The following is a 17,382-nucleotide window of genomic DNA, read 5'->3' as shown; positions in this document are numbered from 1 at the left end:
TTTTGTCATTCCATCTTGATTTATACCTATTTTTAAGTTTTGGTGGTTTCCCTAGGGTCTACAATATCCATTTTAAATAATCTAGTCTACCTTTGAATAGTATTACACAACATCATATGTGGTGCAAGGAACTTGTAGCTATATATTTCCAATTCATTCCTTCCATCTAGTGCACTATTATTGTCATATTGCCATATATTTTACTTTTAAATATGCTATAAATAGGTAATACATTCTTAGTAATTTTGCTTTACATAGTTACCTTTTAGAGCAATTAAAACTAAGAAAAAGTAAATGTATCTTTATTTATTCCAGTTCCAATGTGCTTCATTTCTTTATATAGATCAAGACTTCTGTCTTATTATTCTTCTGCCTGAAAGTTATTTTCTTATAAAGTAGATCTACTACCAATGAATTTCCCTTGTTTTTGTTTGTGTGAGGAAGTATTTATTTCTCCTTTATTTTTGAAATAATATTTTTGTTGACTCTAGATTTCTAGGTTGAATTGTTTTCTTTCAGCACTTTAAAGCTGTCACACTATTATCTTTGTGTTTGTCTCATTTCTGACAAGAAGTCTGCTCTAATTCTTATCCATCTTTCTTTGCAAGTAATATGTCATTTATCTCTGGCTGACTTCAAGATTTTTCTCTTTGTCTTTGTTTTTCAGCAGTTTAAATGTGATATGTCCTGATGAATATTTTGTTTTATTGGGGTTTTGTGGGGAGTATTAATTCCGTTTGGTATTTTTTGAGTTCATTGCATCTGCTGTTTAGTGTCTCTCATTAATTTTGGAAAATTCTTAGCCATCATTTCCTCAAATGTTTCTTTTGCCATGTTCTCTTATTTCCTTCTAGGAGATATTATGCATATATCATGCATAATTATAATAATTATGCATATGTTAGACCATTTATCTAGATTGTTATCATGTTATCTCAGAGTTCTTGGATGCTGTTTTTCCTCATTTTATTTTCCTTTTTGTTTCACTTGGGTAATTTCTATTTATTTCAAGTTTATAGATTATTTTCTCTGTTATTGTGGTTTCTATTCTTAGAATTTTCATTTGGTTCTTTCTCACAGTTTCCATCTCTCTGCTGAAATTAACCATCTGGTTTTGCATATTGTATTAATTATCTGTTGGTAATAGCAAATTGTCTCCAAAACTGGCTTCAAATAACAAACATTTACCGTTTCTGTAGGTCAGAAATCTGGGCACAACTTAGTTGAGTGTCTCTGGTTTAAGATCTCATGAGGTTGCAATTAGGCTTTTGGCCAGGGTTGCAGTATCATCTGAAAGCTTGCTTGGGGGAAGATCCACTTCTAAACTCTCTTGCTTCCTAGTAGGGTTTTGGACTGAGGGCCTAAATTCCTGGCTGGCTATTGGATAGAGGCTTTCCTCAGTTTCTTGCCAGGTTGACCTCTTCACAGGGTAGCTTATAACATGGCAGATAGTTCATCTCAGAGTGAATGAGAAAGACAGTGAAATAGGACATTCAGAATAGAAGCCATAGTCATTTTACAATCTGATTTAAGAGGAGACATCACATCGCTTCTGCCATGTTTTATTAATTAGAAGCAAGTCACTAAATAACGCCCACACTTAAGGGGAAGAGATTACAAAATGGCATGTATTCCAGAGGCACAAAACATTGTGGGTCATAGTAAAGGCTGTTTACCATAGAAGATTTCTCTCAAGGGTTTTTATTGTCTAAGTCCATTGTGAGGTTCTACAGCTTTACTTATCCTCAGATCAAAGTGGTGAAATGAAGAAAAACAAAACAGGTAATTAAGTTTTGACTTACATTTCCAATTCACCTGCTGTTAATAATGGCCATCTCCATCTACTATTGTCTACGTTTAGGTTTCAGGTGGTTTTTCTATTCCGTCCAAAGTATTTTGTGGTGATATATCATGTAGATAGACTGTAGTGGTCCATCTTGGTCAACATCAGAGGTCCTCAAAGTCTAATCTGATCAATACTTTCCCACTTTCCCAGATAATACAAACCCTTTGAATATCTTCACTCCATTCCCTCTCTCCTACTTGTATGCTGTTATCACACATTTTACTGAACATGTAAAACTTCATAAGATATTATTGTTTTATGTAGTCAATAATTCTCTGTATTTACCTACTTTATTCATTTTCATTTCTTTCTGTATCTCCAGTCTTCCATCTTAGATCATTTTCCTTCTACCAGAAGAATAACTTTGGTTATTTCTTTTAATGTGGATATACTGGTGTTAAATTCTGTAGTTTTTTTAATGTCTGAAAACCAAAGGTCCTCATTTCACCTTCACTCATGAAGGATGTATTCACTAGGCATAGAATTCTAGGTTGGCAGTCATTTTCTGTCTGCAATTTAAATATACCATTCTGTTGTCTTTGGCTTTTCATTGTTTCTAGGGGAAAATTAGCTGTAAGTTCTTTTGTTTCTCCTTTGAGGATAATCTCTCTCTTTTTTCTTTAGCATTTAACTTTTTTTGGTAATATTTGGACTTCAGAAGTTTTACTGTAATGTGCCTAGGTATGGCTTTCTTTGTATTTATCCTCTTTGGCTTTGCATGTCTTCTAGCATCTGTGGCTTTATATCTTTTATCAATTGAGGAAAATCCTCAGCCATAATCTTGTCAAATTTTTTTTTGTTTCATTCTTACTCTCCTTTGGAAAATTAAAATGTCGTATATTAGATCATCACACTGTAGTCTCAATATCTCTTATTTCTTTTCTACTTTATACCTTCTGCCTTTTTTTTTTTTTTTTTTTTTTTTTTTTTTTGAGACAGTCTTGCTCTGTTGCCCAGGCTGGAGTGCAGTGGCACGATCTCGGCTCACTGCAAGCTGCACCTCCTGGGTTTAGGCCATTCTCCTGCCTCAGCCTCCCAAGTAGCTGGGACTACAGGCGCCCGCCACCACGCCCAGCTAATTTTTTGCATTTTTAGTAGAGACGGGGTTTCACTGTGTTAGCCACGATGGTCTCGATCTCCTGACCTCGTGATCCACCCGCCTTGGCCTCCCAAACTGCTGGGATTACAGGCGTGAGCCACTGTGCCCGGCCACCTTCTTCTTTTTATCTCATGCTTCATTCTAGTTATTTTCTTCCTACAGATATTTCAGTTCATTAAATCTCTATTCAGCATTGTTTAATCCACTGTTAAAAATATCCATTGTGTTTGGCCAGGTGCGGTGGTTCACACCTGTAATCCCAGCACTTTGGGAGGCCAAAGCAGGTGGATCACTTGAGCCAGGAGTTTAAGACCAGCCTGGGCAACATGGTGAGACCCTATCTCTACAAAAACATACAAAAAAGAAAATTTGCTGGGTGTGGTGGTGCATGTTTGTAGTCCCAGCTACCTGAAAGGCTGAGGTGGGAGGATTGCTTGAGCCTGGGAGGCCGAGGTTGCAGTGAGCCAAGATCGCACCACGGCACTCCTGCCTGGGTGACAGAGTAAGACACTATCTCAAAAATAAAAAAAGTATATATATATATATATATATATATATATATATATATATATATGTCTATTGTGTTTTAAATTCAGTTATAATTTTTAGTTGTAGACTTTCCATTTTGTTCTTTTTTTTTCTGAATATAAGGCTGGATAACATTTTGTTCTTTAGTGTTGCTAGTTCTCTGTCATATTTCTCAGTCATTCCTTTTATCTCTCTGAACATAGTGAACAGAATTATTTTAAAATGTTGTCTGATAGCCACAGTTTCTGGTTTCTCTGAAGGTCTCCTTTTCATCATTTGTTTTTTCTGCTGGTTTTTATTTTTTTTATTGTATCTCCTATTTGCCCATTGTGCTTTAAATGTAGGCCAGATATGTATATGCAGATTATTTGTAGAATAATTCTTTGCTCAATATGATGTATTTTTCCTTCAGAGAAGAGTTTCATGTTTTCTCACATCCGTGAGCAAATAATATGAGATTTCCTTAAGCCAAATTCAAAGCTGAGCTGCAATCGCTGCAAAAACTTGCCTACTCTTGCACGCACTTATTACTATTGTGGAGTATTGAAACCCCAGCAAAAAGCAAGGGAGCTTTACCAGGGAACCCCCGTTTTTGGTTGAACCTTGTCATTTTCCTGTTCTCTTAGCCTAACAAGACTATCAAAAGAAACTTTCAGTTTCTTGTCCTCTCAGCAGTCCCTTGTAAATGGTGAAATAACCCCCAAAGGAAAAAGAGATCCTATACACTGGGATCATCTCTCTGAACCCTTCCCTTCCTTGGATCCTAGCCTAATAATTATTCATTATGTTAATAGCTCCTTGACACCTTTAAATAGATGCCTTTAAGTAGATGCCTTTCTACCATTATCAGAAGTAGAAATTCCCTGAAACCTTTTCTATTTTCACACATATAGATATAGCTATTCGTAGATAATTATTAGATATATTGACCAGGTGTGGTGGCTCACACTTGTAATCCCCGTGCTTTGGGAGGCTGAGGCAGGTGGATCACCTGAGGCCAGGAGTTCAAGACCAGCCAGGCCAACATGGTGAAACCCCATCTCTACTAAAAATACAAAAATTAGCCAAGTATGGTGGCACATGCCTGTAATCCCAGTTACTCAGGAGGCTGAGGCAGGAGAATTGCTTGAACCTGGGAAGTGGAGGTTGCAGTGAGCTGAGATCATTTCACTGCCCTCTAGCCTGGGCAACAGAGTGAGACCCTGTCTCAAAAAAAAAAAGATGTATATAATATTAGATATCTATATAGCTATATATGTATAAAATGGATAAAAAGGGTTTGGAAAACATCTACTTAAAGGCATCAAGGAGCTATTAACATAGTGAATAGATAGATAGATAGATAGATACTATATAGTATTATCTAGAGTGTATTTTGTTTTTTACATGAATAGTATCATAATATATACTCAGTGAACTTCTGAAAACACAACTTTACCCATCAAACTTACAGTGGTGGATGCTTCTGGTCTTTGACGGGGTTGGTGTTTGAAGTTTTTATACAGGTGAAAAGGGAATTTTGGAGTAAGAACAGAACTTTGGGGAAAAGAACATCATTTTGCCAGACAATTTATTTGGCATTTTCGGATTATTTTTTAACGTGCTATGTTTATAGTAGATGTTTCCCCTACAGCATTTCAAAAGATCCTACTGCTGCTCCATTTTTCCAAATAATTTGTCAATATCATTGCCTAATCAATCCATAAAGTGCCCTCTGTTCACTGGTAGCAGAATCCTTCCCCTTGAATACTAAGTCATTTTTTCCATCCTTTTCTCCCTTTTGCTTCTGTAGGCACACACTATACATTTTTGTGGAACCTGGCGAAACTGAAGTTAGAGTTTGTTTATTTTTTCATGTGAATGAAGATAAAGTCCTTTAAACACCAAGTCCAAATAGCTACAAAGCAATCTTTTTATTTGCTCATTTACTCTTACACAGACTGTTTGGCAGGGCCCTCTTAAAAGTCACTAGACAGGAAAATATGCTGTCTTAAAATATAATGTAATGAAAAACAGTGGGCTTCTAATTATTCTCCCAAGGCTATTCCTACCCTTTGCAATAAATTAAAGCAAGCTTAGCCACTGTTTTATGGATGGCATAAAAGTAAACAGGGGCTAAGATAGCAGATACCAGACCTAGCAATCCAAGATGCAGCTAATTCAAGTCTCCCCAGAGCAGCAACGCCCTTTTGCAGGGTTTAATTAGGCATTAAAGAGCCCAGTTCAATCTCCAGTGGGGTCCTCAGGGCTATATGCCTACAATACCTCCCAGGTGCTCTGGTGGGCTTCTCTGGATTCCAGCCTAGCTTCATCCCTAGGCTATGGCTGCCAACCTCCTCAAAACTTGAATCTTCCTTGAGACTACTTCTCGACTTCTTACTTGGCCATCACATGTTTATTGCACAAAATGAATGAATGAGAGCTAAGCCATTTGCTCTTTATCATAGTAATACCGAGTGGCAAACCCCATGTGTTTCTCTGTTAAGCATTTTGTTACCCACTGTAGGGAACAGAGGAGAAACACAAAATATATTTCTCTCCTTTTCTTTATTACCTATCTGAGACCAAGTCAATTCTAATCAAGTGCCTGGAAAACGGTCATGTGTATAGTTCTATAGATGTGTGTATCTTACATTTTATAGGTGACTCAACCTAATTATTGTTGATTTGTTAACTCAGTAGTGAGTGGTTTTAACCTCCAGTGCATAATATTAAAGGAGGAAAATAGTTTTACACAGTCTGATATATATATTCAGACAATAAACTGAGGTTTGAAATGAATATAAAAATGTTTAAGGTATATAAGTTGGTATGTTGAATAAGAGTGATACATGGATTGTGATCAAGGCAGAAGTTCATTTTTACCTCCCACTGTTTCTTTGAATATTATTATTATTTTATTATTATTTTTTGAGACGGAGTCTTGCTCTCGTTGCCCAGGCTGGAGTGCAGTGCCACGATTTCGGCTCACTGCAAACTCCACCTTCCAGGTTCAAGCAATTCTCCTGCCTCAGCCTTCTGAGTAACTGGGATTACAGGTGCCCACCACCACACCCGGCTAATTTTTGTATTTTTAGTAGAAACGGGGTTTCACCACGTTGGCCAGGCTGGTCTCGAACTCCTGACCTCAGGTGATCCACCCGCTTTGGCCTCCCAAAGTGCTGAGATTACAGGCGTGAGCCACCATGCCTGGCCTGAATATTATTTAATACAGTAATTGTCCCTGTCCCCCAACCTACGGTGGATCCATGGCTTTTCTCCACTTTATTTATTTTTATTTATTTATTTATTTAGAGACAGAGTCTCGCTCTGTCACCCAGGCTGGAGTGCAGTTGCACGATCTTGGCTTACTGCAAGCTCCGCCTCCCAGGTTCATGCCGTTCTCCTGCCTCAGCCTCCTGAGTAGCTGGGACTACAGGCGCCTGCCACCACGCCTGGCTAATTTTTTTGTGTTTTTAGTAGAGACGGGGTTTCACCGTGTTAGCTGGGATGGTCTCGATCTGACCTCGTGATCCACCCGCCTCGGCCTCCCAAAGTGCTGGGATTACAGGCGTGAGCCACTGCGCCCGGCCTTTTTTCCACTTTAGTGGGTAATGGTCTCACTGCCACTTTAAGTTACAAACACAGTTTTGTTTCAGAAATTGGCACTAGACTCTTAATAATCAAAATATGGGCTACGCACAGTTGTTCAAGCTTGTAATCCCAGCACTTTGGCAGGCCAAGGCAGGAGGACTGCTTGAGGCCAGGAGTTTGAGACCAGCCTGGACAACATACTGTATCCCCTTTTCTAAAAAGAAAAAAAAAATTGTTTTAATGAAAAAAAATTAAAACAAAATGCATAACTTTGCTTGGCATGAGTCTTCTCCTCTTCACTGGCTTGGTCTCCCATGTCTCTTGTGGATGCATCTTTGTTTGGGGATCCTGTGCAGCTCTTTTCTCAGCTGTTGGCAGCTGATACAAATTTCTGTCCTCTTCCTGCTAAAGTCTCTTTGCTTCTCCAGATGAACTTGTGTGACAGACCCAAAATAATACTGTGCCAACTCTCTGTCTTGCATGGTCCAGATTTGGTCCCATGCTCTGACCAATTTTGGGAGAGGGAGTGGAAACTTCAGCATGGCCAACAGGAGGCATTCTAAACACGGAAAACAGCTATGCATGAGGAAAGTGGCCTTTCCCACACAGAATAATGGAAATCTCCTTGGAAGTCATCTCTCCACTTGCTGGGCTTTACTAAACAAGAAATGGAGGGCAAAGGAATGATTAACCCAACAATAAGTAGATGATGGTAGAATTCAGTTTTCTGATGGCCCTAGGGTTGGGCCCACATTATTTCTCAAATAAATTTTATTTTATTTTTTAAACTTTTTTCAGATGGAGTCTCACTCTGTCACTCAGGCTGCACTGCAGTGGTGCCATCTTGTCTCACTGCAACCTCCACCTCCTGGGTTCAAGCAATTCTCCTGCCTCAGCCTCCTGAGTAGCTGGGATTTTAGGTGCCCGCCATCACGCCCAGCTAATTTTTGTATTTTTAGAGAGACAGGGTTTCACCATGTTGGCCAAGCTGGTCTTGAACTCCTCCTGACTTCAGGTGATCCACCTGCCTCGACATCCCAAATCCCACCTGCTGGGATTACAGGTGTGAGCCACCGTGCCCAGGCTCAAAGGAAATGTTTAAAAATCTCTGCCTTTGCTAAGCTTCAGTAAAAAGCCAAAATCAGCATATGGGCTCACATGAGTGATTTTAACATGTCACATCATTAGGTTTTTCCTGCTGTCTCACCATGTCCCTTGTATATGATAAGTATTCTTCTGGAAACAAAGATTTGGTGCATAGCCTGACAAGCACATCTATACCAAAGAGTACAATAAGACTGTCCACAGGTTGTGCATCCCACATCCAAAAATCCAAAATTCGAAATGTTCCAAAATTCACAACTTTTTTGAGTGTGGACATGATGCTCAAAGGAAATGCTCATTGGAGCATTTCAGATTTTGGATCTTCAGATTTATGATGCTCAGTTGGTATAATGCGAATATTCCCAAATCTGAAAAGATCTGAACTCTAAAACATCTGGGACTAAGCAGTTTGAATAAGGGATACTCAACCTATATTAACCCGTGGACTATCTGGGGAAGATCTGGGATGAAGAGTTCCCAGAATACTCATCGTGTTCAATGGCTCAGAGTTCCACAGGGAATTCAGTGGAGATGGTCAGTTTACCCTGCTTTCCCAGAGTGAAAAGACATAGTTCAGTGATTATCTTTAAAGAAGTGAAGATCTTAATGTTAGACATGATAGAAGGTTAGAGTATACTTAAACTTCCTGCTGCTGTAAACTAGCCCTGCTCAATTCGCCTGTCCTTTATTGGCACCTATTCTTCCCCCTGTACTGAGCTAGTTGCGGTGAATACAAAATGAAACACAGTCCTTGCCCTCAAGTGGTTTATAGAGAGATACAATGTTGCAATGTGCTGAGGTACCATGCATATAGAAATTATTACAGATAATACTTTTATGTAAAAAAGTTTTTTTTAATTTACAAAGTAATTCCAACTTCAAAAATCCTATATGTCACATGGCATAATCAACTCTGTTGAATGGGTAAAGCAACTGAGGCCTGGAGATGTAAATTGTTGTATTCACATTTCCAAAAGTCAAGTTGCAAAAGCCAGAATTAAACTCAGTTCATCTGACTCTTTTCTAGGGTTGTCCTTCTCAGTGGCATTTGTATTTCAACAAGAAACAAAGAAAGCAGCAGGATTCGAACTAGGGCCAACAGGAGATATTTGGGAGATTGGAGCACTGGAGACTTCCCAGGGTCCTGGGAATGCCAGCACAGAAGCAGCCTGTGGACAACACTCACCTGGAAATGAGACTCATGCTGAGGAGGGATGCTACAGCCCCACTCCTTGCCGCCCTGGATGCCTTCCCGCCAAGTTCAAAGCCTGTCTTCCTTTGGGGCCAGGGCGTCTGAATTGCTTTCTGAGGGCTCATTACTGTTTTTCAGTAGATTAGGTGCAAACACTCTGAGTAAACAAAAGAAAATTTTCTACTATTGGCAGCCCACTGCTAACTGCTACACCCTGGATATTTTTCTTATAGTTAATTTAAAAAAAAAGAAGATAAAGAAAGGAAGGGTAAATTGGAGGTTGTGTGGGGACTTGGCTCTGGCTGCAAATCAACTTCAGACCCCAAGGGAACTTAAAAGAACTACTAGTGGCCACAATGGCTCTTCAGTGCAGCCTGTGTTTACTCAGGAGCAGCCACCACCTCCACAGCCCCGAAGGCAGCCTGCATGAAAATGCCACATTGTGCAGTGATTTTTCAGTTACTTCAGGGGCTTCAGGCTGGTAGCAGATGATTTGTGAGACTGCTATAGATCCATCAGCTTTTGAAATTCTACACAGGCTGGTATATGTTGCTGTTGAGCCTCACTTATTCACCTTTCCATTTGGCAAAGCTTACTCAAATAAACGTTTATTATGTGCTAGGCACTAGAGTAGCCAACAGGAATAGAAAAGCATGAAGGACAGAGTCATTGTCCTAAAAAGAAGATGCTAAGACCCATGTGATCTCTTGGCAAGTTCCTCATTTTAATGACAGACTTGTCAAGATCCTTGCTCTCTCATTGGGGTCGTTTAATGAGTTAACCTGACAGATCAGGTGTATGATTAATTCATCAAACATAGACCGAGGACCTACTGTTAGCCAAGCACTTCTCAAGGCACTAGAGATTCAAAACACAGAAAACATGTGGTCTCTGCCTGCAAGGACATTCAGACTATTGGGAGGGACAGATCTACAGTTCCATTAGGGCCACGGTTACTAAGATAGACAACTGTTGAGGGCAGAGTAGAGGCACAAAGAAGATAGTTATCAGTGGAGTGACTGGGCTTAGTCACAAAAGAAGACTTCCCAGAGATGACGCTAATACTGAATTAAGAAAGATAAACATATTTCCAACTGGGCACAGTGGCTCATGCCTGTAATCCCAGCATGTTGGGAGGCCGAGGTGGGTGGATCATCTGAGGTCAGGAGTTCAAGACCAGCCTGACCAACATGGTGAAACCTCGTCTCTACTAAAAATACAAAAAATGAGCTGGGCATGGTGGCTCACGCCTGTAATCCCAGCTACTGGGGAGGCTGAGTCAGGAAAATCACTTGAACCCAGGAGGCAGAGGTTGCAGTGAGCTGAGATCACACCACTGCACTCCAGCCTGGGCAACAAGAGCAAAACTCCATCTCAAAACAACAACAACAACAACAAAACAAGATAAACATATTTTAATCTTATATAACAAGATGATATGATCATCCTTGTGATCATCTTGTGACAGGAAACCCCTGCTACGTGTTTTAAAAAAAAACTAGTTTAATAATTGTGAGCTAATAGATGTCCTGCTACCTGGTTTTATTTAAGAAGTGGACCCCCACCACTGCCATCGGCGTAACTACCCTGACACTTGAAACACACTCAAGTTTTGTTATTTGCATATTGTCAGATAAGGTCTTCCTGTTTTGCAAGACTGAAATATGGTTAGCTCAATTATCTATTAAGTCCTGCGAAAAGTCCAACGTCTACCCAAAAGTTTCTGAAAATTTTTGAAACACTTGGGTTATCAGAATCACCTATAGTTTCTAATTCCTTACTCTTCTTTTCTGGTTCTTCAGAAAATGGCTGTTCCTTTGTCTCCACCATGATGTTCACCCAAATGTAAAATTCATTTTGGAGTACTTTTTATTTCCATTCAAAAGTGCTTAAGCCAAATTCACTGTAGGCTTTTACCTATGAAACTACCTTTTATCAAAGCTTTTAGAAAAGTGATGAGTTTTGTTACGTGAATGTAAACAATTATTAAAACTGAGTATGAGGCTTCCCTATTCTTAACAGTTCTTTTTGGCCAGTCTGTCATTCTCCTTGGCCATCTTCTTTTGTTCTTCACTCTTCCCCGAGGTCCCCTCTTGTTTGCTCTCTCCCACCCCCAATTTCTTCCCCCTTTTAAGGTCCCTTCCTCCCTTAGCTTCCCATCATTACTATAAATACACCACTCACATCATCCTTGTGATCATCACGTGACAGCAAGTGTCATGTGATGAAAAAACAGACATCAATTATGCCATTGAAGGTAAAAGATGCCCCTTACCTATATATGGACATGCATGGAGAAAAAGGAATCTGGCAGCACTTCCAGCGGGAGGGGGAAGCTCTCCTGGATTTCAAGTCCCGTGAAAGGGCCCACTGCCAACGAAACAGCCTCATCAAAGTAATTTAGGAATGTCCCTTTTGACAGTTTTCTGGTTCTTCTGGTTGTAGAGACTCTGGCTGTGAGCCTGCCTTCTTGCTGGATACAAGTAACTGGTAACAACCCTAGAGAAATCCTAGATGTATTTTGCTGAGAACCCAGACAAGGTGAAAGTCAATATCCCAGGTGTATCATTCCTCGCTAGTCTCAAGCTTCATGTCTGGATCTCCTCTTGAGTCTACATTTTGGAGATGGTGAAGGGAGCATGATTTTTAGCTGTGGGAAGCAGTGTAATGTAATACAAAGCACATGGACTAAGAAGTCAGATTTGCTGATTGTTTTGATTGCCTCACTTCACCCCATCAGTGAGCAAGGGATTCCACCCTAGGGTTATAAGGATGGCTGAACATGTGACACCTGAGATGAGATTGACAACAATTTATTGGGCACGTATGGTCACAGTCTAGGGGAGGAGGACATCACATGCTATGCAGGGCTACACAGAGGTTGCATTTGGGAACAGAGAACAGAGTGAACAAGCGGGGGCTATGGGCCATAGGCTTTGTAATAACAAGAGAGTGGGGTGACTCCTGGTTCCTGAGGGAGGGTGTGATTGGCTTGTTTGAACAATTCCTCAGATTGACAGAGAACTGAAGTCTGCTATTCAGGGTTAGGAGAGATAGGGTTACATAGAGACTGTGCCTGGCCCCTATGATAAGAAGGGTTATTTGGGTAGGGGACCTTATCTTCGGGACTACAATGGGGAGGAAAACTTGAGGTTAGGACATTTGAGATTTTACCGGGTATCATGACTTTGGGGAACCTGTAAGCACTGAGTCTCACATCCTTATTTGTTAAATGGGGATAATAATACAATAATACTACACTCATAGAGTTCTTTTTTTTTTTTTTTGAGACGGAGTCTTGCTCTGTTGTCCAGGCTGCAGTGCAATGGCATGATCTCCACTCACTGCAAGCTCCGCCTCCCAGGTTTGAGCAATTCTCCTGCCTCAGCCTCCCGAGTAGCTAGGATTACAGGTGCCTGCCACCACGCCCAGCTATTTTTTTTTTTTTTTTTTTTTTTTTTTTTTTAGACAGAGTTTCACTTTTGTTGCCCAGGCTGGAGTGCAGTGGCGTGATCTCGGCTTACTGCAACCTCCATCTCCCAGGTTCAAGCGATTCTCCTTCCTCAGCCTCCTGAGTAGCTGGGATTACAGGTACCTGCCACCATACCCAACTAATTTTTTTATTTTTAGTAGCAACGGGTTTTCACTATGTTGGCCACACTGGTCTCGAACTCCTGACCTCAGGTGATCCACCTGCCTCGGCCTCCCAAAGTGGAGGGATTATAGGTGTGAGCCACTGCACCCAGCCTAATTTTTGTATTTTTAGTAGAGACGGGATTTCACCATGTTGGTCAGGCTAGTTTCGAACTGCTGACCTCAGGTGATCCACCCACCTCGGCCTCCAAAAGTGCTGGGATCACAGAGGTCCCAGCACATTTTAAACACAGTGCAGTAATTGGTTAATGAACAGTTCTGTAATTCATTTTCTTAATTGCTTGGGAGACACAATCAAAAAAGAAAGGAGGTGATGTAGTCAAATTTCCTTGTAAACATGTTAATGACAGACCTGGTAAGCAAACTAGTAGTATTTGCCAGCAGGAGAGTGTTTATCCCTGGAATGCTTTCAGAAGGATGTACCTGATTGTCTAGGATTGCTTACGGTAAACAAACCCTCAATCTATGGATTTATGTGGCATGGGCTCTAGGAAAATCATGTAAATTATGTATTCATTTAAGTGTAAAATGGGCATGCATGTCTCATGATTCAGATGGCTCCCTGTGTGTAAGTATCATTATAGCACATATCCCTTAATGACCTGATACATTGATGGGAAGACAATGCAGGATCACCAGGTATAGAAGGAATAGCTATAATATGATAGATAAAATTCTAACTAAAGAAACAGGAAATAAGAGCAGTCTAGAAGAAATCATGCAGGGGCATAAAAAGTTTGAAAGCAATAACCTTACTTTCCTCATGGAGATAAGACACTCTAGTCAAGAATGTAGAACCGGAGGTTGTATCACAAATAGAAATGTTCAGAGTGTAAAAAAATATTTCTTGGAAACTAAAATATTATTTCATATCAGAAATGAAAAACTCAATAGATGAATCAGAAAATAATGTTGAAAAAAGTCTCCTAGAAAGTATAGCAGAAAGACAGAGATGGAAAATTGGGGAGAAAAAAAAGATAATTAGAGAACTATGTCAGGAGGTTCAACATGTTAAAAGTAGGAAATTTTTTAAAATACAAGAGATTGTAGGACCGGCACGGTGGCTCATGTCTGTAATCCCAGCACTTTGGGAGGCCAAGGCAGGCAGATCACCTGAGGTCAGGAGTTTGAGACCAGCCTGGCCAACATGGTGAAACCCCGTCTCTACTAAAAATACAAAAATTAGCTGGACATGGTGGCATGCACCTGTAATCCCAGCTACTTGGGAGGCTGAGGCATGAGAATCATTTGAACTCGGGAGGGGGAGGTTGCAATGAGCCAAGATTGAGCCACTGCACTCTAGCCTGGGTGATGGAGCAAGACTCTGTCTCAATAAATAAACACAAAACAATACAATACAATACAATGCAATACAATACAATACAATACAATACAGGGGAGAGGAAACATCATCAAATATGTAATGTAATACAATTTTCCAAAACTGACGAATATCATAACTTGTTTGAAATGATGAATTATGTGTGCATCATAACTTATTCAACAATTCAAGAAATATCCAGAGGGTTCTTAGTGTGAATATTACTTTTACCATCAAATTTTGTGTTTGTATAATCACTAGAAAAAAAAATGAGGTGAATTTCGAATAGTCTTTAAATAATAGCAGTTGTTTCTTCTTTGACAGAATGAGCTTCAGAAAGATTTATCTTAATTTTGGATATTGGATGAAATAATCGAATCATTACTGAAGTTAACCGATTTCCTGTTTAAAGTGTCGGAAAACACTGTGTAAAACTGGCATCATTTAACTGTTCATGGAACCAACATATGTGCACAAGAAAAAAAATGAATGAAATTAATTTAGAAGAATAGCCATTTGATCTAATTGAAAAGTCATGTTTGATAGAATGATATGTAAATGGATCTTCTGCACTGCACCTATTAAAATATTACCTTCACACAGTGCTCTTAATATAACTGTTGGCCAGGCACAGTGGCTCACGCCCATAATCCCAGCATTTTGGGAGGCTGAGGTGGGAGGATCACTTGAGCCCAGAAGTTCAAGACCAGCCTGGACAAAACAGTAAGACCCTTACTACAAAAAAAAAAAAAAAAAAGCTATGCTACATGTCTGTAGTTCCAGCTACTCGGGAGGCTGAGGTGGGAGGATCACTTGAGCCCAGGAGTTTGAGGCTGCAGTGAGCCATAATTGTGCCTCTGCACCCCAGCCTGGGCAACAGAGTGACACCCTATCTCTAAAAGAAAAATAGCCAACTTTTGAAATGATTGCTGAAGCTCCTTCAGTAGATTCATGTATTCTGATGTTCATGTTGTCCCTCAGTCCCATGATGGATGGTAAATGTTGACAAATATTTTGGGAAATGTGTATGTTCATTATTAATTATCTTAAAAATGGAAATAGAATACTTTTACATTAAATATGTACTTCCATTCTTAAACTTAGTATCATAAGGACGTACTTCAAAATAAATAGGTTACCAAACAATAAAGTAAATAAATAGTTGTAGGTTTACACCATAAGGTAAATGATCATTCTAGGTAGCAAGAGCATTCAAACTACACACTAATGGCTCCAGGGCAGGATTCATTAGTCTCTATTTTCTGCACATATTTTACAGAAACCTAACCTAGAATGTCTCACATTTCCTACTGGCCTACAGCATTTCTAGAGGCTAATGAAAACTGCCTAATGAACTGAGTGGCTGGCAGAGACTTTGAATATTCTTCCACCATGTCCGGAGACCATAAAGAGCGAGCTGTTCCTAGATACTTGTGTCTGAGTGCACTTGATTTATGTAGTTAATCATTCTGCATACTGTCCTTGAAAGAGAGAAATTAGATACATTACACCAGGAACAGATCAGGGAAAATGAGATGTGTCTCTGATTACTGCTCATGTTTAATCATGTTTTCAAGGTACAACTGCACATGTATCTCATGCACTACTAGATGAGAACATGCAGAAGCTAGAAGTGCAAAATTGAGGACTACCATTCTGGTTTAAGCTAATTCTACTGTTAATATATTTTTAAAACAATGAAAAATCTGGGTCAAATATGAAATTGGATGGAATTCTGGGACAACAGCTGTAAACATGATCTATAAACCAGGATATTTGGCTGTTCATTGTTTTGTTTCGGGTTTGCAAAAGCAAAAGCCAGAAGAGTTTGGAAAAGATTCTTTGCTTATCTTCAACTTAATCAATCATTGATTCCAATTGTGACTGTTCTTCCAGATATATTATCATGACTGGAAAAAACCAACACTGTCTCTGGTACTTGTTATGTAGCTATTGACTCCAAAAATGCTTCATTTTATTTATTTATTTATTTATTTATTTATTTATTTATATTTGAGACAGAGTCTCACTCTGTCGCCCAGGCTGAAGTGCCATGGAGCGATCTCGGCTCACTGCAACCTCCACCTCCCAGGTTCAAGAGATTCTTCCATCTCAGCCTTCCGAGTAGCTGCGATTACAGGTGCCTGCCACCACACCCAGCTAATTTTTTGTATTTCTAGTAGAGAAGGGGTTTCACCATGTTGGCCAGGCTGGTCTCAAACTCCTGACCTCAAGTGATCTGCCTGTCATGGCCTCCCAAAGTGTTGGGATTACAGGCATGAGCCACCGTGCCTGGTCTAAATGCTTTATTTTTAATTCAATCAGCAAACAGAAACGGTTGGCTTTCTCCTACCAAGGGTAGCAGCCTGCTTTTACTATCTTATCTCAGGGTTGTATCTAGAAACAAATTGATACCCAGGTACTACTATCACACATAAAAAGATACAATATTTCTGAAGCCATTTACTATGTGGTAACCCATAAGGTTTACAGTTTTGAAAGCAAGAGGGAGCTCTGCACTATCTACGTTGCAGTACAAGCTGCCTTGCTGCTTTGGCCTTATGTTACAAGAGGTACAATACTTTAAGTGACTGTGGCAGATAAAAATGCCTTATGAAGCACTTGTGCAAACCAAAAAAATTGCAGTGAAGACTCCTACAGTTTTCGTGTACAGTCAATTATTCACCATACGATAAGCACTTCCAACCTTGCTACTGGCCCTGGTAGAGATTGACTGCTTGACCACAAGACACCGCATGAGTGTGACGCCTTAGTTGGTCTCGTGAATGAGGTATTTTGAATCACAAAGCAGAATTCTACTATCAAATGAAAATGGTACATACAAGAGTAGGCTCGGAATGAACATGTAAATCACATGAGCAAGAGGCTTAGACTCCTATGGCACTTGCTTCCACTGCTTTACTGCCTTTCCCTCAACCCACACCTATGGCCTCATGGGGAGTTTTACTTAATGGAAGAGAAAAAACTTGAACCTGCTTTATGCTTGGATGTCTATGGGGTAGGACTAGTTAGCCTCACACTGGTATAGCACTAAAAACAACAGT

Source organism: Homo sapiens, chromosome 3 (genome assembly GCF_000001405.40).
Source record: "Homo sapiens chromosome 3, GRCh38.p14 Primary Assembly".
Classification (NCBI taxonomy): Eukaryota; Metazoa; Chordata; class Mammalia; order Primates; family Hominidae; genus Homo; species Homo sapiens.
The sequence above is the reverse complement of the archived record's forward strand: the minus strand, read 5'-3'. Positions refer to the sequence as shown.